Below are 21,400 nucleotides of genomic sequence, written 5' to 3'. Positions count from 1 at the left end.
GCAGATTCAGTGTCTGGTGAGCACTTATTCCTCATAAAAGGGAACTTCTAGCTGTGTCCTCACATGGTGGAAGGGGCAAACAGGCTCCTCAAGCCTCTATTATTAATATAATGGCACTAATCTCACTAATGAGGGGAGAATCCTCATGACCTAATCACCTCCGAAAGGCTCCAGCTCTTAACACTGTCACATTGAGTATTAGGTTCCAATATATGCATTTTGGGGGTCACCCATATTCACACCATAGTAGAAAGCTTCCTCATTCTCTTTTATAGCTACATGATTGTTCATTGTCTGGCTGTACCATAACTTATATAACCAGAGCCCTCCTGGTATCATTTGGGTTGCTTCCATTTTTTTGCTACTGCAAATAAAGCTGGGGTGAATAATCTTATACACATGTAATTTCATGTGTGGGCAAATGCAGCTGTGGGATAAATTCCTTGAAGCAGATTGTTGGGTCAAAGAGAAAATGCATTTGTAAATTTGATAGCTATCACCAAATAGAGATTTTAGGAACGTATACTTCCACCAGCAGAGTCAGAGGGTTGAATGCCGCATAATAGCCACACACTTAGCCAGAGCTAGTATCCTCTTACCACACTCCAGGGAGGAAGGAAAAGGCATGTGAGAAAGGAAGAGCTATTTATCCGATACCTGCTCTGTGCCAGACGCACTCTGTATACACACCCTACATACATTGTCTTCCTATAAGGCAAAGTGTGTTTCCCCGATTTTTATATGTGAGGAAACTGAGTCTCAGGTTAAGGAAATTTACACAACGTCTCAAGAAAGTAGAAGAGTCCTGAACCTATGGCTGGCTCTGAAGCCCGTGTTTGTTCCAGGGGGCCACGTCATGGTGCCAGGGAGAATATCTCAGCCGGGCTCTGGTGTTCCGCCAACGCTGTTTCTGTCAGCATTCATGAATGTGAACAGCGGACTTCATTTCCCAACTACTTTATTTTCTTGCCTGACTGGAACTTCAAGAGTCAGAGCTCTGCCCCGCTTAGAGAAATCTCTAGCAACCCCTCCCCACCTTTGTGCTCTCTCCCCAGGGCCCAGGCCCACTCCCACAAGTGACTTTTATATGTGGAGCAGTGCTCCTCCTGGTGTGGCTCTCCCAGAAGAGCATCCAGCCACAGTTCCAGGTCCCACGCTAGCTGCTCCAGCTGCTGCACCTCTTCCTCTAACTTCTCCGAGAAGACATGCAACTTCTCCTTCAGCCAGTTCCTGATGGTCTTTATCGGTTCTTCTGAGGGCTCGTTGGTCTGATATTCAAGCCCCTGGAAGGCAGACACAGAAGTGGCATCCTGTGCTTTCTCAGATAGGACCCTCCTCCCCATCCCCACTGGTTTCAAAAAGATCCCTGGGCCTTTGCACATGCTACTCATTGTGCTCGTAGTACCTGTTCCCACCTTCTGCACTTGACAAGCGACTACTTATCTTTCATGACCCATGTTGCCAATGACACCTCCTCTGGAAAGCCTTCCCAGATTGCCTCACCTCAGTACCTTGCTGGACATGTTACCTGGGGAACTGCAAGATTCTGGTAGTAGTTACATTCTCTGATCCTTTCTGACACCTCCCAACTGCTTCCTGAAACAGGCACAAACATCACCTCTGAAGAGCAAATGAGCACTAATTGAAATAAACATGGTTAGTTATCCCAGTGTGATGAAGGGTCAGTGGGAGAAGGTGGGTTATGGAGGTCCCCTTAACATACAACCATCTTTGGAACACTCCACCAAGCTTCATGTGGATTTGGTTCCTTCTTTCTCAGATTCCAGAATGCTCACCCCATATCTCTGTGCTCAAGTACAGCACCAAGATCAGCAATGCCAACAGCGTCTAGGGTGCAAGAAGAGGAAGAGGAGGAAGAACATGAGGATGAATTCTCTCCAGGTCCCCCTGCTTCCATCACAAAGGGCCAGACATGGGAATGCTTATAAGACAGTTTTTTGAGTTTAACTTTTGTTCTAGTTATCTAAGTCACACTTACTTACTACAAAACTCCCAAACTTTGAAGAAATAGATAACACTGCAACTTACTGATGTTCAATTTGCATTTTCTCTCATGTAAACATTTTTCATTTTAATTGATCTTGAAAAGGAATCAACTTCATTGTGGTATAATTTACATATAATAAAACGCACACATTTAAAATGTATAGTCTGATGAGTCTGATGAGTATTGATGAATGTCTATACCTGTAGACTATCACCCCAATCAAGATGTAGAGCATTTCCGTCATCTTAGAAAGTTTCCTTTTGCAGTCAATTCCATCCTCACTCCTGCCCTGCCTGGAGAGAACCATTAATCTGTTTTCTGTCACTGTGAGTAGTTTTGCCTGTTCCATAACCTTGTATAAGTGGAATTACACAGTGTGTGTGCTTTTGCATTTAGTTTCTTTTGCTTAAGACAATGTTTTCGAAATGCCTCTATTTTTTTGTGCTCAATTTTATTGATGAGTATATTGTGTATTTTATTGATGAGTATTTATTTTATATGAACATAGAATATTGCACAATCAGTCTCTTTACCTGTTGATGGACTTTTGGCTTGTTTCCAGTTTGGGGCTATTATGAATAAAAGTGCTATGAACACTCATATACAATTCCTTATGTGAACATATGTTCACATTTCTCTTGGGTTAATATTCAGAAATGCAAATGCTGGGTTATATGGTAAATGTATGTTTAATTTTATAAGAAACCACCAATGACTTTTCTTTACCCACTGAGCAACTATATGTGTCCCCATTTTTGTGGTAAATTGCATTAATTGTGTTTTAAATATTGAGCCAAATGAGCTTCTTCAGTAAACTCTAGTTGTTCATGATGCATTAGCTAGCCTTTTTATATATCATGTGATTTGATAAGCTACTATTTTGTTGAGATTTCTTACCTCTATATTCAGAAGAGATTGGTTTAAAATTGTTTCTAGGCCAGGCGCGGTGGCGCACGCCTGTAATCCTAACACTTTGGGAGGCCGTGGTGATCACCTGAGGTCAAGAGTTCGAAACCAGCCTGGCCAACATGGCGAAACCCCGTCTCTACTAAAAATGCAAAAATTAGCTGGCCATGGTGGCCGGTGCCTGTAATTCCAGCTACTCGGGAGGCTGAGGCAGGAGCATCGCTTGAGCCTGGGAGGCGGAGGTTGCAGTGAGCCAAGATTGCGCCACTGCACTCCAGTCTGGGTGACAGAGCAAGAATCTGTCTCAAAAAAAATTTTTTTTTCTACACGTTTGTCAAGTTTTGGTATCAAGATTTTGTTGCCCCCTTAAAATGAGTTGGTAAGAACTCCCTCCTCCTCTATTTTATGAAATAATTTGTGTAAGATTGGTATTATTTTCATCTCAAAGGATTGATAAAATTTATTGGTGAAAACTTTTGGGCCTGTAGTTATTAAGACTATTTCTTCTTGAGTCAATTTTGTAAGTTGTACTGCCAAGGAAGATTTGTCCATTTCACCTAAGTTAAATGTATTGGCATCAAATTGTTCCTAATATTACCTTAATATTCTTTTAATGCCTGTAAGAGTCATGATAATAATCCTCTTTTATTCTTTTTAAAAAATATATATAAAGAAAAGAGGTCAAGAGAGGAAACAAGAGACCTCTTTCATTCTTGATATTGGTAACTTGTGTTTTCTTTCTATGTATGTTTTTTGTTGAGTCTATTTAGAAGTTTTCCAATTCTTAATTTAATTTTACCAATTAAAAATGGTTATTAATTTTATTGTTTGTCTGCTTTACATTTCATTAATTTCTGATTTTGTCTTTATTATTTATTTCTTTATACTATTGAGTTTAATTCTTCTTTTTCTGCTAATGTGGAAATTTTGACCATGGCTTTTAAAGTTTTCTTGTTTTTCAAATATGTGTGTGTGTGTGTGTGTGTGTGTTTGTGTGTGTGTGCATATTGACTGACATTGAATTTTCCCCAAACTCACTAGATGTTGGCTGAGTCAGATCTAGTTTGCCTTAAAGAAAGAATAAATTTCTTACACACCCAAGTATGTGAAGTGACATTTAGACCCAGTACTAAACAAGGAAGATGAAAGATGTGTCTAACTTGCCTCTTCCCCAGATAATTTTCTTTATAATACTAGCAACTACATTACTATTAACTTAAAAAAAAAATGTTACATAGCAACAACTGGTTGAGTTTCACAGACACAATGATAAGAGAAAGAAGTCAGACACAAAGGTATACATGGTATGATTCCATTTACATGAAATTCAAGAACATAGAAAACTCAGCTATGATGACACAAATCAGAATCACTGCTATGAAGGGTGGGATGCCAGGTGGGCGGAGCCCCAAAAGAGCCTCCCTCAGTGCTAGAAATGTTCCATAGTTTGATCTGTGTGTACACCCAATGCAAAATCATCACACTGTACATGTAATATTAGGGTCCTTTTTCTTTTCTTAACAATATTCTTTAGGAATCTTTTCATGGAAGACACACACTAATTGTCACAATCTTTAAAATGGCTGATGAGTTTTCGTGGCCTGGAAGCTCTTCTATGTGTCTAACCAGTCCTCTATCAATGTATTTTACAGGTTGATTTCTTCCCCGGCATTCTTGCTGCTGGTTTCCATACTGTGCTGCATGGAGGCAAAGGGAGGAACATGGACTAGGATTGAGTTTGAGTCCTTTTCCTTGTGTCGTCTTGGGGCCTGAGCCAAATAATTTCTCTGAGCCTCAGTTTCTTCATCTGTAAAATGGATTTTGAAATACACTGCAAAGTCTTTCAAAAAAGAAGAAGTGGCTCACACCTGTAATCCCAGCACTTTGGGAGGCGGAGGCGGGTGGATCATGAGGTCAGGAGTTCGAGACCAGCCTGGCCAATATGGCGAAACCCTGTCTCTACTAAAAATACAAAAATTAACTGGGTGTGGTGGCGGGCGCCTGTAGTCCCAGCTGCTCGGGAGGCTGAGGCAGTAGAATCACTTGAACCCAGGAGGAGGAGGTTGCAGTGAGCCAAGATCGCACTGTTGTACTCCAGCCTGGTGACAGAGCGAGGCTCCGTCTCAGAAAAAAAAAAAAAAAAAAAAAAAAAAAAAAAAGGAAACAATGGGACTCTGGTAGAATCAAGGTGGGAAATGCTGTGGTAAACAAAGCTATGCAGACTTCTTTGTTGCAGGACTTCTCAGAGCCTTCCTTACGTGAATGAGCAGCGTCAGTCTTCAGGAGGGGATGCGGGTATGCAGCCTTCCCCAAGCCACAGAATTCTGTAAAGAATGTTTCTAAAAGGAGCATTCCTGGGGTCTGGTGTCTATGGAACACTTTTTAGGAAAAGCCGCAGCATGATGGGTGCCCATGAAGGCCCCTGTTATACGCTACAAGGTCCAGCATATAGAAGGCGCTCGGTGCATGTATAGTAAATTAATGAGTGAACAAGTCTTTTGAAAACAGAGACAGCAGAGCTCATTCATTCATTGCTCTGCTTAAAACCCGTCAACAGCTTCTTCTTATCCTCAGAATAAACCCTTGCTCAGGGTTCTCATAGCAGATGAACCTGGTTTCAGGGAGTTCTAAAATCAGATGGATGTGTTTTCAAATCCTGATATGTCCCAGTTGTACGGCCCTTTTGCCTTTCTGGGCCTCAGATTACCCTCTGTGAACGAGGTTGATAGCATCTAAGAGATGGGGTGTGGATGCACCAGGCTGTGTGCAGCAAGCATTAATGTTTTCCATTTTGACGAAATCCCACATGAGTTTTGAATTTCAGCCCTGAGAATGAATCCTCCAGGAGCGCTCCAATTCAGGAGTATTATCAGTTCATTCGTTCATTCAGCATCTACTTGGCACCAAGCACCATGCTAGGCACTAGGGATTCAGCAGGGAACTAAACAAAAAGCCCAGTCCTCCTGGAACATACCTTCTGCTGGCAGTGCTGAGAATTTAATAAGACAGTGTCAGTGATGGCCCCGGCAAGAAGTGCCTAGGCCCCTAAACTGTGCTCCATCAGAGTGGGATCCAGGGACGGTTGGGTCCAAGATTCATTCCGGGCTTTGAGGGACTTCTAGTCTGTCTGGAGTGGCAAAAGGAGCCCAGATGGGAGGAAAGCAGCATGTACCTGGCCTGGCCTCACCTGCTTCTCGTCATCACAGTGGCTGCCCCTTCTCCGTTCAAGCAGCTGGGCTGCCACCTGCTCTGCTGCCACCTGCCTTCTGCTGTCCACTTGCTGGGTTGCCATGGCCTCAGATCTGGCTGCCTGGGTGGACCACACTCAACAGACAGAAGGGCACCCTTCCCCTCCCCCACCTGTGGTCACCAGGCATCCTGCAAACATTGAGTTCTGATGTCACAGAAGGTAGGGACAGCAAGGTTCCCACCTTTCCACCACCCTGATTTTTAGTCCCTTCCCTCATTTTTATTTTTCACATGAGTGTAGAAAACAAAGATCAGGAAGAAATGCATCAAAAGATTATGTTTCAGGATGATGATTTTTCTGATTATTTTCTTCTATATTTGCAAGTTTTTAATAAAAATGCTAATTCTAAAATATAAAAACAATAGTTTGGGTGCAGTGGCTCACACCTGTAATCCCTAGCACTTTGGGAGGCTGAGGCTGGAGGATTGCTTGAGTCCAGAAGTTTGAGACTAGCCTGGGCAACATGGTGAGACCATGTCTCTATTTTTAAAAAATTACAAAAAAAAAAAAAACAATAAAAGCTATTTTTAATTGAAAAATGTATGGAGATAATTGTGGATTCACATGCAGTTGTAAGAAACAATACAGAGAGATCCTGTGTACCCTCTATGAATTTTTCCCCCAGTGGTACAGTAATATCCTGCCTCACTGCAGTAGGAGATCACAGCCTGGATGTGGACATTGATACACTCTACCAATCTTACGCAGACTTCCCCAGTGTTACTTGTTCTCATTTGTGTGTGTGTGTGTGTGTGTTTAATTCTAAACAATTTTGTGTAGGTTTGCTTACTTAGGACAATAGTCAAGACACAGAAGAGTTTCAAAACTACAAGGGGCTTTGTGCTGCTTCGTGATGGCTGCTGCCTCCCGACCCCACCCACACTGTCCTTAACTCCTGGAAATCACTCATCTGCTCTCTCTTTCTAAAATTTGTTTATTCCAAATGCTACATAAATGGAATGAAACAGTATTTAACCTTTGGGGATTGGCTTTAAAAAAAAACATAGTATAATTCCCTGGAAATTCATCCAATTTGTTGCATGTATCAGTAGTTCATTCTTTTTGACTGCTGTGTAGTATTTTGTGATATGTGTATGCCATAATGAAGGACACGTTCCAAACCTGTTCAAAACCCAGCTGCCTCCAGTTTTTGACTCTTGCGAGTAAAGGTGATATGAACATGCTTGTACATGTTTTTGGGTAAACGTAAGTTTCATTTGTCTGGGATAAATGCCTGAGAGTGCAGTTGCTGGGCCATAGCATCATGGCATGATAGTTTTATAAGAAATTGTCAAACTGTTTTCCAGAATGGCTGTGCCATTGTACATTCTCATTAACAGTGTATGAGTGATTTGGTTTCTCCTCATCCCCACCAATATCTGTTTACACTATTTGTTCTTTTTTTTTTTGAGACAGAGTCTCACTCTGTCGCCCAAGCTGGAGTGCAGTGGCACGATCTCGGCTCACTGCAAGCTCTGCCTCCCGGGTTCACGCCATCCTCCTGCCTCTGCCTCCCGAGTATCTGGGACTACAGGCACCCGCCACCACACCCGGCTAATTTTTTGTATTTTTAGTAGAGATGGGATTTCACCGTGTTAGCCAGGATGGTCTTGATCTCCTGACCTTGTGATCCGCTTGCCTCGGCCTCCCAAAGTGCTGGGATTACAGGCGTGAGCCACTGCACCCGGCTGTTTTCACTATTTTTTAATTTAACCATTTTGACAGGTGTTTAGTAACATCTCATTGTGGTTTTAATGTGTATTTCCCTGATAGCTAATGATGTTTAACATCTTTTCTTTTTTTTAAATTTTATTAAGCAATTTTTTATTATTTTGCTGGAGACAGTGTCTTGCTATGTTTCCCAGGCTGGTCTTGAACTTCTGGGCTCAAGCAATCCTCCCACCTCGGGCTCCCAAAGTGCTGCGATTACCGGTGTGAGCCACCATGCCCTGCCCGAACGTCTTTTCATATTAGCTTATTTGCCATCTGCACCCCTTCCTCAGTGGAACATTTGTTCCTGTCTTTTGCCCATTTACTAATTGGATTGGTTTTGCTACAGTTGAGTTTTGAGACAGTTCTTTGCTCATTTTAGATACTAGTCCTTCTTAGGATATATGGTTTGCAAATTATTTTCTCCCAGTCTGTGGCTTATCTTTTCAACTTCATCACATGGACTTTTGCAGATAAAATGTTTTATGTTTTGATCCAGTCTATCACTTTTTCTTTTATGAATTGTGCTCTTTCATGGCAAGTCTAAGAACTCTTCACCTAGCCCTAGGTTCCGAAGATTTTCTCCTATTTTTGTTTTTTTGGTTGTATAGCTTTACGCTTCACATTTCAGCCCATGATTCATTTGGAATCAATTTTTGTATAAAGTGTGGAGTTTAAGGTTAATTTTTTTGCTTATGGATGTCCAGTTGCTCCAGGACCATTTGTTCTGTATTCTGTTTCATTGATCTATGTATCTGTCCCTGCATCAATACCACACTGTCTTGACTGCTGTAGCTTTACGGTGAGCCTTAATAGCAAGTAGAGTGATTTTTCCCACTTTGTTTTTCTTTGTCAAGATTGTTTCAGCTCTCACAGGGCTTATGCCTTTCCATATAAACTTCATAACAAAATACTTTGCCAGCTGGGATTGTGATAGGAATTGCATCACACCTATGAATCACTTTGGGGAGAATTATCATATTTACTATGTGGTGTCTTCTATCCCAGGAACACAGTATGCTTCTTCATTTATTTAGGTCTTCCGTTTCATTTGTTTTTTAACCAGCACTTTGTAATTTTTGGCATATAGCTTTTGTACATGTTTTGTTAGGTATATACCTAAATATTTCATATTCTTTGGACTTTCCTTATACTTTAAAAGCCCCCATGTGCCAAACAAATTTCATGTGTTAAGAAATCATCAATGTTCCACATTTTGTGAATTAACTTTACCAAAGTTCCACATACAGAGCTCTGACTGGCACCCAGATAACTTACATACGGAGGCCGGCTATACACTAGGCATTTCACTAGATTACTTTACTACAGCTTCTCTAGGCTATTAATTCTGTGGGTAGTGGGGAATTAAATCTGTCTTACTAAACATTGCATTTCTGATGCCCCTTACGCAGCCCGTTACATAGTAAATGTTCAGTAAAAATACCTGTTGAAAGGATGAATAATGAACGGTCTCAAACTGCAGGCTCTGAGAGGCCAGGAACTTTGTCTGGTGAATACATTTTTGTATTCACAGTACTTGGCTCAGTAAATATTTGCCGAATGAGTAAAGCAGGTGGTATGATTTTTACGTTTTGAAGAAGCCGAGGTCCGGGGTGGCTAGGGAAGGGTATCGGAATTAGTGGGTGTCATGAACGAAGTACCTACTGTGCGCCTGACCCAGGGTAAGTCCCTTCCACACGTTATTTCATCTAATTCTCCTAACTGCCCGGCAAGGCCGGCACTGTTAGTTTCTGTTGGGAACGTTACTCTCCTTACCCAGTGGCACATACCCTGCCTTAGTATGGGTCTATTTAACTCCAACGTCTTCTCGTTTACCACAAGGAGTTAATGTAGTTTCAGCTAAAAACAAAGAAAGTGGCCATTCTTGTCTTTTGTGGCTTCACTGTCCGTAAGTAGATGTGAGATTTCCATTAGACTTTTTGAATATCCAACATAACCATCTTCCCTCCTGTCCTTCTGTGTCCAGAGTTTGTTCCTTTAGTGGCTTCACCGTCTCGCTGACTTCAAGAATGAAGCTGCAAACCCTCACGGTGAGTGTTACAGCTCTTGAAGGTGGTGGACCGAAAGAGTGAGCAGCAGCAAGATTTACTGTGAAGAGCGAAACAACAAAGCTTCCACAACCTAGAAAGGTACCTAAGCAGGTTGCCACTGCTGGCTGCAGAGGCCAGCTTTTATTCCCTTATTTGTCCCCGCCCACATCCTGCTGATTGGTCCATTTTACAGAGTGCTGATTGGGCCATTTACATCTTTTAACTAGACACAGAGCACTGACTGTGCATTTTTTACAGAGTGCTGATTGGTGCATTTACAATCCTTTAGCTAGACACAGAGTGCTGATTGGTGCTTTTACAATCCTCTAGCTAGACAGAAAATTTCTGGAAGTCCCCACTCGACCCAGGGAGTCCAGCTGGCCTCACCTCTCACTTCCAACTCCATGACTATCCCAGATTGGTGCGTGTGGCATTTCATGCAATCTCCACTCCTTTTTGCCTTTTCTGCATATCTTTATTATTATTACTAAAGCAGCTACGTTGTCTGGGATAAATATCCAGGGTTCGTCGTCTTATACCAGGTAAGTTTAGGACACGGACACACAAAATAGGCAAAAAGGGAGAAAGAAAAACAGCTCTAGAGACGGGGGGGGGCACTTCTCAGAGGAAAAGACCAGCCGGTGGTGGATGCACCAGAATTTTACAGTTAGGCTTGCGGAGGTGGTGTCTGATTTACATGGGGCTCACAGATTGGTTCCATGAGGTATGACAGTTACATAGCTGGGGAAGGCTAGCTGCCCCACCCTAATCTTATTATGCAAATGAACTTTCCCCTTAGCCGGGGCTGTCTTGTCTGCTCCTTAGTATACATGTGGCAGACAGAGAGAAGGGAAGACGGAGCCGCCATCTTGAACATGATTGGCACAACTGCAGCATCTATGTCTGCAGCTCGATTTTACAGGCTGTTCTTTGTCAGAAAGGAAAATAATTGGGGGCTGCTTTTCATTAAAAGGAAAACCTTACCGAGGACTTCTGCACCCTCACTATCTGACTAATTAGTTTCTTCTTAACTCCTGTATCATTACCATGTGCAACTAAGATATTTTGAGAGTTTTCTAAGTACTGGGCATTGTGCAAAGTGCTTTACATGCATTGGTTCACCATATAAATATTACAACTCTAGGTAGTAAATCATATTTTTGTCTCCATTTTACAGATGGGGAGACTGAAGCTTAGACTGAACACTTTTCCAAAGTTACTCAGCTGGTAAGAGGCAGGGCTGAGATTTGGACTCTACCATTCTTGTGACAGCACCCTGGCTCTTGGTGGCCGTTGGATACTGCTCCTTCCCTGGGAAGATTCAAGACCAGAGAAAGAAAGAGTCCAACCCAAGACAGTCCAAGGAAAGGTACCGAACTCAAGTCTCTTGCCTCCCACTTGAGGGCCCTCCAAAGGCCATTTGCATCATCTTGATGGTCTTGCAGGCACCCATGCAGTTGCTGGCTCTTGGGCTTTATCTGGTGGACACATTTGAAATGTCAAATGCAGGTACGTAAGGACTGCTCATTAAGCTAATTATGGCACATCAAAAGTAATGAATTATGGTCACAAAAAGTAATGAATTACAGTAAAAAAAATTACAGTCACACACAAAAAAAGTAATGAATTACAGTCACATTTTTCTAGGAAACATAATAAATTCTTCCAGGAAACTCCTTCGGAAGGCAGAGCTTCCAGGATTTGGTCTCAGGGCAGGGAGGAGAGGGAGGAAGAGCTTCCCCACCTGGCCCTCAGAGAACTGGCCCAGTAGCTGGTGTGGGCGGGGGACTGGCAGAGGGTCTAGTACAGCACTGGGTGCTTCACACTTCCTAGTAAAGGAAGAGGGAGAGGATGAGAAAGGAGAGAGAGGCCTTTGAAGGAGGGAATTAGGGAGCAAGTCAATGTGAGAATGAGTTGGCGGGGGCAGGGAATGAATGGAAATGTGTGAATGAATAAAGATTTCCAGGGGAATAACTAATCAGTCTTGAAAAATTACACTCTGCCAAGGGAGAAATCTGCCCCAAACCTAATAAGTGGAGACCAAGCAGTGCTTTGTGCTTGAGTCCTGTCTCCCAAACACACCTGGGTTCAAATCCTGGTATCATTGTAACATTCACTTGGGAAAGTGACATCATGTCTCTAAGTCTCAGTTATCTGAAAAGTGAGGCCAATAATAATAATATGTGTCTTACGGGGTTACTGGGAGCGCTAAACGAGATGAACTAACTGGATAGTGCCTGGCTCAAACTGGAACCTCAGGTAGTTTCTCTCTCTTCCCCCCTTCTCCCTCTCTCTCTCCTTCTTTTCCTCCCTCCCTCCCTCTCTCCTTCCTCTCCTCTCTCCCTCTCTCCCTGCCTTCCTCGCTTCATTCCCACTCCTGCCTCCTTTTCTCCTCCTCACTTCTCCAAGTATTTGATGGGCTGCCCCCATGCCAATTCAATTTAATTCTCCCAGTAATGTAAGATTGCAAAGAGTTTATATGAAAAGTCTATCCAGAAAACTGATAGAGATGACATAATTGGCAAGCCTGTACAGGAGTGGGTGGGGACTATGGAAGGAAGAGGACTGGATGGCTTCATAAAGGAGGAGGTGTTTTTGGCTAGCTGGAGGGGAGAAGAAAGGATGTCTGGGGAGACTGAGAATTATGGGAAAAGACCTCACAACCTGGGCCTGAAACCAGAACCCAGTCCTAGCCTGGGTCTGGTGCCTGCCTTTAGTCTACAGAATAAAGACTTGTATTTATAACAAACATTGCAAACTCAGATGCATACAGGTACTGAACAGTTAATAAAATGAGAGAAGTAGTCTGGGTGTGAAACGAAAGGGCATGGTGGGGACCATGGCAAAATCATAACACGTGTGTCCAGAAAGGCCAGCCAATTGTTGCATGAGAATGTGGGGTTCAGTGTGGTGAGAACTTCTGATTTATTTTCAAGAGAAGTAAGAAATTCAGTCTTTTGTATGAAACCTCCTGGCTTGTAAATGTTGGCAACAAATTCAACTTAGAAAAAAATTCACTTTGTGAGCCCAACGTACGCCATCAATTTGTGAACTCTCTTATTGTGTGTCTGCTGTGCTCAAACGAGGCTTGTCCCTAATCCTCGAAACAGCCCTGCTCTGTGGAGCTTGCTACCTGCTATGGCGAGCCACAGAAGCCCCTATGGCTAACTAAAATTGGAAACGGCCAGTCTTGGAGAGGAGAGAGGGACCTCCTGAATTTGATGGGAAGGCTGAAACTCCAGGGAGAAGAATAGCCGTTGGGACCATGGGCAGGGGCATACCACAGGCAGACACTGAACCAGAAAGGAATACTGGGGTAAATGTATACCCTGCGTGGTGGGATTCCAATGCCATGAAAGAATTCTAAATTCTCTTGGTGTCTGTGTTAGTTACTATGGCTTCTATAATGAATTATTACAAACTGGATGGTTTGAAACGACAGAAATTAATTTTTTGTAGTTCTGGAAACCATAAGTCTAAAGTCAGTAGCACTGGGCTGAACTCTCAAAGCATGCATCTGGCTGTGCTCCCTCAGGGGGAACCCATTCTTCAACTCTTCCAGCATCTGTGGCTGCCAGCATTCCTTAGCTTGTGGCTACAGCACTCCCATCTCTGCCTCCATGGTTACATTGCCTTATCCTCTTCTCTCTGTCTCTATCTGTGTGTGTGTGTGTGTGTGTGTGTGTGTGTGTGTGTGTGTGTGTGAAATTTTCCCATCTCCCTTTTATAAGGATTCATAGGATCATGCTGGGGCCCTTTGGATAATCCAGGAAAATCTCATCTTTTTTTTTTTTTTGAGATGGAGTCTCGCTCTGTCACCCAGGCTGGAGTGCAATGGCATGATCTCAGCTCACTTCAACCTCTGCCTCCCGGGTTCAAGCAATTCTCCTGCCTCAGCCTCCCAAGTAGCTGGGATTACAGGCACTTGCCATCATGCTTGGCAAATTTTTGTATTTTTGTAGACAGGGTTTCACCGTGTTGGCCAGGCTGGTCTTGAACTCCCGACCTTGGGTGATCCGCCCGCCTCGGCCTCCCGAAGTGCTAGGATTACAGGCATGAGCCACTGTGCCCAGCCAAATCTCCTTGTCTTAAAACCCTGCATTTGATGACATCTGCAAAGTCCTATTTTGCAATATGAGGTAATATTCACAGGTTCAAGGGATTAGGATGTGAGTATCTCTTGGGGGCTTTTCTCAGCCCACTACTGTGTCTTTGGGATGCTCCCTGCAGATTCAAAGCTCTGGGCAAGGACAGCTGCTAGGCTGAGGTAGGGAGGAGGCTGGAGGCTTCTGCTGCTCTTGAAGTGGGAGACAAGGCTGTGTCACCCCCAAGACTCATCTGATGGGTGATTACCTCCAGGAAAGGAGGGATGGAGCAGCTGAGTGTTGCCGCTCTCCCCTCCTCCATTCTGCACTGAGATGGAGACCTAGTTCTGAGAGGCTGGGGGATGTCCGAGCTCTCGGCCCCAGGAGGGCAGGTCTATCTCCCTCTCACAGTCCGTGGCACTCCAGAACTTAGCGCAGCACCTGCCACTGAGTAGAAGCTCAGTGTTTGTTCACAGCCTGCTGCCTCCAGGTTCTGTTCTCTCTCACTGTGGCAAGCAGAGGCTGGGAGGCCAGGCCAGCTGAGGGGCAAATGTACACATGAACACACAGCCTTGGCATAGGCTTGCCTGCTAGGGCCACAGGCCACACCAAAAATACCCTTCTGCATGCCCCGTAACCAGAGGGCTAAAGAACTGCGAACAGTGGACCAAAAAGGAAAAAAAAACAGGATTAATTTATGAGGCGTTCGGCTGCCTGGATGGCTCATTGCATACCCGCTCTGGCGATGCTGCTCTGTAATGTGCTTCTAGACTTACTGTACTTCGACATCCAGGGGCCCTTTTGTAACATGCCAAGTATTCCGCTGTTATTGTTCTAGGCACCTCCTGTTGGTCATTGGGCTAATTTATTACAGTCGGAATTTCAGGACCAGACACAACTCTTATTACTCACTGCTTCGGAGAGGGAATAAAAGAGCAATTGATATTTGGAAAAATGAAAAATATGTCCAGAATACTTTGGGCTCTGAGGCCAAGAAGGAAAAAAAAAAAAAGGAGGGGGAAGCTGGAGGGAAAAATAAGGCAGGCTCACCCCGTCATGCACTCTGTCGTGGCCTGTCTTGGAGACATGGAGTCTAGAATGTCTGCAGACAAATGAATCAACGGCAGGGCTCTGAGAATTCCTCAGGCACCTGGGCCCTTCCGCCCATGACTTCAGCTGCCACCTGCAGGAGCAGGACTGGAAAAGGTTGGAGTGTGAAGCGCCCCTCAATTAGTTGAGTGTGTTAAATTGGGTCTTGGGTTGGAGGGTGAGGGAGAAACCCCAGTGGGGTTGTTGAATTCCTCAGTTCGCTTGCTCCCGAATCCAAGACTCTTATGGAAAATTAACGTAGGAATAGAATTTTGAGACGTGACAGCCCAGATGCTTGATTTCAGGACTGATAGAATCTGAGGAGTAAGCATGCTCTGTACATGGGCATAGAGATGATGATGATGTGCTCCTGAGACCCTATCAGTGGTCTTCTGGTGGCTTGAAGGCAAGCATCTCCCATGCCATTCGAGACCCTTTGCCTGGTGCATGTGGGTGTGAAATGTGTGACTTCGCTGTTCCTGGAAGTCCTGGTTGAACGCGGGGTTTTTGGCAGACAGAATGGCTTCTGCAGATGCAGGAAAGTGGGGGATGGGTTTAGCTCTGCCCTGGCCAACAAAAACTGCCAAGAGTGACGATGTACGTGAAAGTGAAGGGGTGGTTACATGTGCCTCGGGCGCGTTGTGTTGTGGTCTGGGGCTTGGGCTGCAGAGCCTGGCATCCTGAGGACAAATCTCACCCCACCCCAACCCCCCCTCCCCCGCTCACTGTGAGACCGTGGGCTGCACGCTGTACCTTGAGAGGTCTCTGTTCTTCCATCTGTAAGGTAGGGATAAAAATACCTGCCTTAGGCCAGGCACGGTGGCTCACGCCTGTAATCCCAGCACTTTGGGAGGCCAAGGCGGGTGGATCACCTGAGGTCAGGAGTTCAAGACCAGCCTGGCCAACATGGCGAAACCCCGTATCTACTAAAAATACAAAATTAGCCGGGCATGGTGGCTCATGCCTATAATCCCAGCTACTTGGGAGGCTGAGGCAGGAGAATCGCTTGAACCCGGGAGGTGGAGGTTTCAGTGAGTTGAGATCACACATTGCACTCCAGCCTGGGCAACAAGAGTGAAACTTCGTCTCAAAAAACAAAACAAAACAAAATGAAATACGTGCCTTATAGGGTTGTCGTAAGGGAAAAAAAGATACTGTGTAAAATTCTGACGCATGGCGATGATAACGTGGGCTTCCTTTTCTTGCACATTCATTTACTGTTAAGCACTGAATTAAGCACTTTGCATTCATTCCCTTATAGAATCCTCGCAGCAACTCCATGAGATAGAAACTAAAACCATGTCTGCTTTACAGATAGAAAACTGAGGCTAAGGGACATTGGGGGCCTTACCCACAACTCCAGGGCCTGAGTTCTTAACATCTACTGCCTCCCCTGGAGATCAGGGTCTTCAGGGGAGGCACTTACGGTAAGTCAAACTGGAGGAGACAGACTCAGGCAAAGTCCACCACTGCCTCCTCTTCCTGTGGCGATGGGGAGGACCACTGTGTTTTCATTTGAGCACAAGCTAGAGTGGTTGCAGGACTAACAAGATCCTTTCACACGGTAGAGTTACCCTCAGAGGGGCAAGGTCTGCTCCAGGAGACACGTGACAGCAGGGCCCGAAGGAGGGGGAGGTGGGGGTTGGGGGGAATGCTCAGTTCTTGGTGCTGGAGTGTGAGGCAGCGCCCTCCTGGTCTATTCCAGATGTTTCTTTCTCTCTCCAATTGTGTACATTTGAATTTGAGGAAAGAAGGTGGCCAAGGGCCCACGGGATGGGAAGACCCTGTTAGAGGGGCGGCGGGCACATGGTGCTCCCAGCAGATCTAGTGAGGGCTCAGTGTCTATTTGTCAAATGAACGTGGTGGAGGGCGAGCATCTGGAGTTGGTAACTAGCAGTCTAAGGTTGAAATGGCTTCAAGACAGGATCAAAACATCCGTGTATGGCATGTTTCTGGGCTGAGAATCCTGCCTCTGTTCTGACTTCATTCTCTGACCACCAGAGGCCCGGCATCCCTTTCCCCAGGGGTCTGAAGACAGCTGGGGTCTCCTGAGGGGCCTCCTGGGTCTGCACTTGGGAGACCTGTGGGTCAAAATTTCAGGCCACGTTAATAAAAACAGAGTGGGCCTGTAGACACGGCCCAAGACAAGGCTCCCACAGACCTTGAGCCAGTTTGTTTTTGTCTTAAGCTGTTTTGAGTTTCTGGCAGTTGGGAATAGAGGGATTCTTGACACAATAGCTGCATGTCAGGTTGTGCTTTTATAAGGAACACCATGAAACTCTTCTGCATCCAAGACACTTCCTGGGATTTGTGGGCGAGCCTTGAGACCAAGTTCAAAGGAGCCTGTGAAGGAATTGGAGGGTGGGGTGGGGTGGGGCAGGGCAGGGTAGGGACAGTGTGCCATGGGCCTACGCAAGATAAACCCGCAAGGAACTTCAAACCCACAAGGGGCGTGGGACTGCTGAAATCCAGGATCCCCTCGGCCATCCGAGGTGCAAGGCCCATGGGGATTGGGGGAGAGGTCCGACGGTGAGCTGTGCAGCCGAGCAGACCTGGGTTCCCATATTGTTTCTGCTAACTGCCTGTGTAACCCTGCGTGGGCTCCTTCCTGTCTCTCTGCTGGCTCAGTTTCCTCATCTGTAGAACAGGAACAACATTACTGTCTATTTCACAGGCCATTATGTCAAGGTGGAGCAAGCATGGGATCTCTGAATGGGATGGGCCAGGGTGGAGAGTGACAGAGCTGCATGCCATCGATCCCTGCTCTCCATGCCAACAGCAATCGCAACAACCAGGTGTTAGGACAGTAACAGCTAATGTCACCAAAATCTTGATTGTGTTGGATCTAACAAGTTTGATCTCACCCAATCCTTACAAATGCCTTCTGAATAGATGCCATTTTTTTTCTCTTTGTCAGACAAGAAATCAGACACAAAGCCCATAGCCACCAAACCACACACTGCCTCCTGCGAAGTGCACACACAAGAAATGCACAAATGGCGTATGTAAATTCTACTCACCATTCAAGGCCTGGCATGAGCCCCACCTCCTTGGTGTAGTCCTCCAACCACAGGGATGTCTCTTTATCCATCTGGACTGCAGACAGATGTTTAATTTTTTAAAATAAGTTGTCTTAAAAATTAGGAGCTTTCTCATACAATCTAGATTTCACGGCTTTTCTTGAAGAATGAGCGATCTGGCCACAATGACCTATGTTCCTGCATGCCAACACTTGCCTGAAGCTGGGCAGCCTAGCTTCCTTTAGATGGGGCCTGGCTGCTCTTGCTGGCTACTGGACACTATGCCTGCCTGGTCTTGAGGGCATCTGGCTTGAGTCTTACCCTCTATTTGGTTGTCTCATCACAATGCCTTGAATCATTGGCAAACATTTTCTGTGCATTTTTCAGTCTGCCCCGTGAGGGCACCAGCTCCCATGTGAGGGAAAAGCCTTCCACATCTTCAGAATCCCTCCTGTCTGGGGCTGTGTGGGCCCCAGGGCGCATGCCCTGTAATTATCTGTTAATTGGATTAACCAAAAGCAAGCAGCCCTAGACAGGGGGCTCAGAAGGGATTCAGTGACCTCAGAGGAAGGGATTCAGTGACCTCAAAGGTCGTGCATCTCCAGTGCTCTACCATGGTGGACGTAAGACTGGTGTTTATCCAGCCCTTGCTGTGCAGCAGTCATGGTGGAAGGAATCATGGGAGTATCATCTCATTGAGCCCCCACCACCTCCCTGAGACTGAGGTCAATGTCCGCATTCTACAGATGAGGAAAGTCGGACTCAAGAGAACCGAAGAGACCCGCCTAAGGTCAGAACCAGCTTGCTGGCAGGAGAGTCAGGATTCGAACCCAGGTCTGTTGACTCCCACATCTGACTCTTTCCACATACTCCCTGGGCCAGCTCTCCACGCCAGGCCCCTCTCTGCCAAAGAGAAGACCTTTGCGATGTTTTGTGTCCTTGAAGGCAAACCAAAAGAATTCCCTACAACTCGCTGCTGGCATTTCAAGTATTGGTTTATGGGTTTCTTGGTGAGAATGCATCCAGGGGCCTATCACCCTTAGTGAAATAGATACTTTTCCAATCAAAGAGTCAAACCAGAACTTGGCTTCTGAGAAAACCACTTGTCTGGAATGCTTGCCAGCGACCAGACGGTCCCACAGTTCAGATTTTTAAAACTGTCTCAAATGTATGGAGAGACCTTTAGGGTGGAGGGTGGGAAAGGCACATACCTTGCTGTGGAAATACATAGACGTTCAAGTCGTCAGGACTCCTTGGCTGGCCAAGGTCAAGTCAGCCCTTTTGTGGCGTTCTCAGGAGTCTCGCTGCCTCGCTGAACCCAAAACGAGCTTTTATTTTATGAGACTTTTCTTTCATGAAACAAAAACAGTAATTAAAGAGAAAAACCTTCTATAAACAAGTGTCTATAGTTCTAGTTTGCTTAACTTTTTCCAACCTTATGAAAAATTGGAACTGAAATCGCCTTCTGAAAGAAGGTTCGGGAAGTATTTTCTTTCAGGTTCATTCAAAATAGTCACACCTCCTTCTCCACCCCTTCCCGAATGCTGGTGTTTCCAATGGTCTTCACCATATCCTGAAACTAATAAAGTGGTGTGTTTTCATTATCTCTCACCACAATAATAAAAATATGCAAATGACTCTGAATATAGTTTGTGACCTAAACCCTCACCCCACATCTGGATGGAATCTGAGACCCTAAATGGTTCAACCATTTGGACTGAAGAGGTTGGTTAATTCCATCCAAGAAGCAGTCATAGGCTGGTTAGGGACTGGTTAATTCATTCCAAACGGTCAACTGAGGATGGTGAGCAGACATAACCTGTGGTTCAGAAAGGTTTCCCTTAACCCTTCCTGAATTTTGATCTGAGGTTTATACAAACAGAAATTATGTGTGGGGTGGAGTGCAGCCAGGAAGTCTCTGAGAAAACTCCATCTTACACATTTTCTTTGAGACGGCCAGACATAAATCTTTGAGGATATCCGTCTTCCTACCAGAGTGGCTGGATTTTTATGGTTACTACACCCTGGTTAGATTTTAATGGATAAAATACTTTTTTGAGTCCAAGGAAAGGGCTAGTATTCCCTGAGTAGCTAATACAGTCTTTCAAGCAGAAAGGAATGACTATTTTTTACAACTCAGAGACTGTACACTACCAAGGGGTGAAAAGGGTGTGTGTGTGTGTGTGTGTGTGTGTGTGTGTATCTGTTTGAGTGGATGAATGAAAGAATGGCACTTTTGGGATATATTTGCACTTCTTTTCAGGATAAGCAAGTTAACTTTCTGCCTCTAAAATAATAGATTAAGCTGGGAAATAGGTTGGCTACCTCTAAGCTAAAGTAAGGTAAATACGTATTTGTCAATTCAAACTACCCTTCCCTGTACCCTTAAAAAATCACTAATAATAACAAAATGTCAGTTTTTTAACCCATGCATTCATTATTGGTCCACATACTCAATCTCACCCCCTGCTTTCTCCTTCACTTCCTTCTCTCAAATATTTATATGAGTACCCACTACGCGCCAGGCACTGCCTTAGGTTCTCCCGAAGTTCCATACGAAGACCACTCGGAGAATTTGTTGACCATACCAAGCCAGGTTTGTTGTTTATTGTTTATTTTTTTTCTGAGACGGAGTCTCGCTCTTTTGCCCAGGCAGGAGTGAAGTGGCGCAATCTCGGCTCACTGCAACCTCTGCTCCCTGGGTTCAAGTAATACTCCTGCCTCAGCCTCCCGAGTAGCTGGGATTACAGGTACCTGCCACCACCACGCCTGGCTAATTTTTTTTTTTTTGTATTTTTAGTAGAGGTGGGGTTTCACCATGTTGGCCAGGCTGATCTCGAACTCCTGACCTCAGGCGATCCACCTGCCTCGGCGTCCCAAAGTGCTAGGATTACAGGTGTGAGCCACTGCACCTGGCCTAAGCCAGATTTATCAAACTTGTTGGGCAAGGAAGAGCACCACCGTCAGAGAGTCTCATAGTATCTTAAAAGGGGATGAAATTGGAAATCATCATTCTCAGTAAACTATCGCAAGAACAAAAAACCAAACACCGCATATTCTCACTCATAGGTGGGAATTGAACAATGAGATCACATGGACATAGGAAGGGGAATATCACACTCTGGGGACTGTGGTGGGGTGGGGGGAGGGCGGAGGGATAGCATTGGGATATATACCTAATGCTAGATGACGATTTAGTGGGTGCAGCCCACCAGCATGGCACATGTATACATATGTAACTAACCTGCACAATGTGCACATGTACCCTAAAACCTAAAGTA

At 44.9% G+C, this 21,400-nt stretch overlaps 1 protein-coding gene across 4 annotated transcripts, besides 1 other annotated feature; it reads right to left on the bottom strand.

The window, feature by feature from the left end:
- Positions 1-941: 941 nt before the first annotated feature.
- SMIM23 (small integral membrane protein 23) lies at positions 942-19,441 on the bottom strand. 4 transcript variants are annotated; one of them, XM_011534624.2, is made up of 5 exons: positions 19,331-19,441; positions 18,120-18,195; positions 1,797-1,848; positions 1,529-1,596; positions 942-1,283 (listed from the first exon to the last, which is right to left on the bottom strand). In XM_011534624.2, the coding sequence occupies exons 2-5, from the start codon at positions 18,120-18,122 to the stop codon at positions 990-992; spliced, it is 417 nt and encodes a 138-aa protein (XP_011532926.1). In that variant the 5' UTR covers positions 18,123-18,195; positions 19,331-19,441; the 3' UTR covers positions 942-989. The 4 variants fall into 4 exon arrangements, with proteins under 4 accessions (XP_011532926.1, XP_011532925.1, XP_011532924.1 ...); XM_011534623.2 differs by lacking the exon at positions 19,331-19,441 and having other exon boundaries at positions 18,120-18,418; XM_011534622.1 differs by lacking the exons at positions 18,120-18,195; positions 19,331-19,441 and adding an exon at positions 6,087-6,274.
- Positions 10,082-11,281: an enhancer, noted in NCBI's record as "MED14-independent group 3 enhancer chr5:171207801-171209000 (GRCh37/hg19 assembly coordinates)". NCBI's record gives its function as "activates an origin of replication core promoter dependent on BRD2, BRD4, P300/CBP and CDK7 cofactors, and independent of MED14, by STARR-seq in HCT116 cells {active_cell/tissue: HCT116}" and the evidence as "EXISTENCE:reporter gene assay evidence [ECO:0000049][PMID:35650434]".
- Positions 19,442-21,400: the final 1,959 nt, after the last annotated feature.

The sequence above is a fragment of the Homo sapiens genome, chromosome 5 (assembly GCF_000001405.40).
Source record: "Homo sapiens chromosome 5, GRCh38.p14 Primary Assembly".
NCBI classification, from domain to species: domain Eukaryota; kingdom Metazoa; phylum Chordata; class Mammalia; order Primates; family Hominidae; genus Homo; species Homo sapiens.
Note: the sequence above shows the minus strand (reverse complement) of the source record. Positions and strands in the feature narration are given on the sequence as shown.

Bases quoted from the DNA above. Each gene is read 5' to 3' on its own strand.
- SMIM23 (XM_011534622.1), bottom strand. From the start codon at position 6,206: ATGGCAACCCAGCAAGTGGACAGCAGAAGGCAGGTGGCAGCAGAGCAG. The intron at 1,849-6,086 runs GTACATGCTGCT...CTTGCACCCTAG, and splicing joins AGCAGGTGAGGCCAGGCCAG to ACGCTGTTGGCATTGCTGAT. The intron at 1,284-1,528 runs GTAACATGTCCA...TCTGCCTTCCAG, and splicing joins AGAATCTTGCAGTTCCCCAG to GGGCTTGAATATCAGACCAA.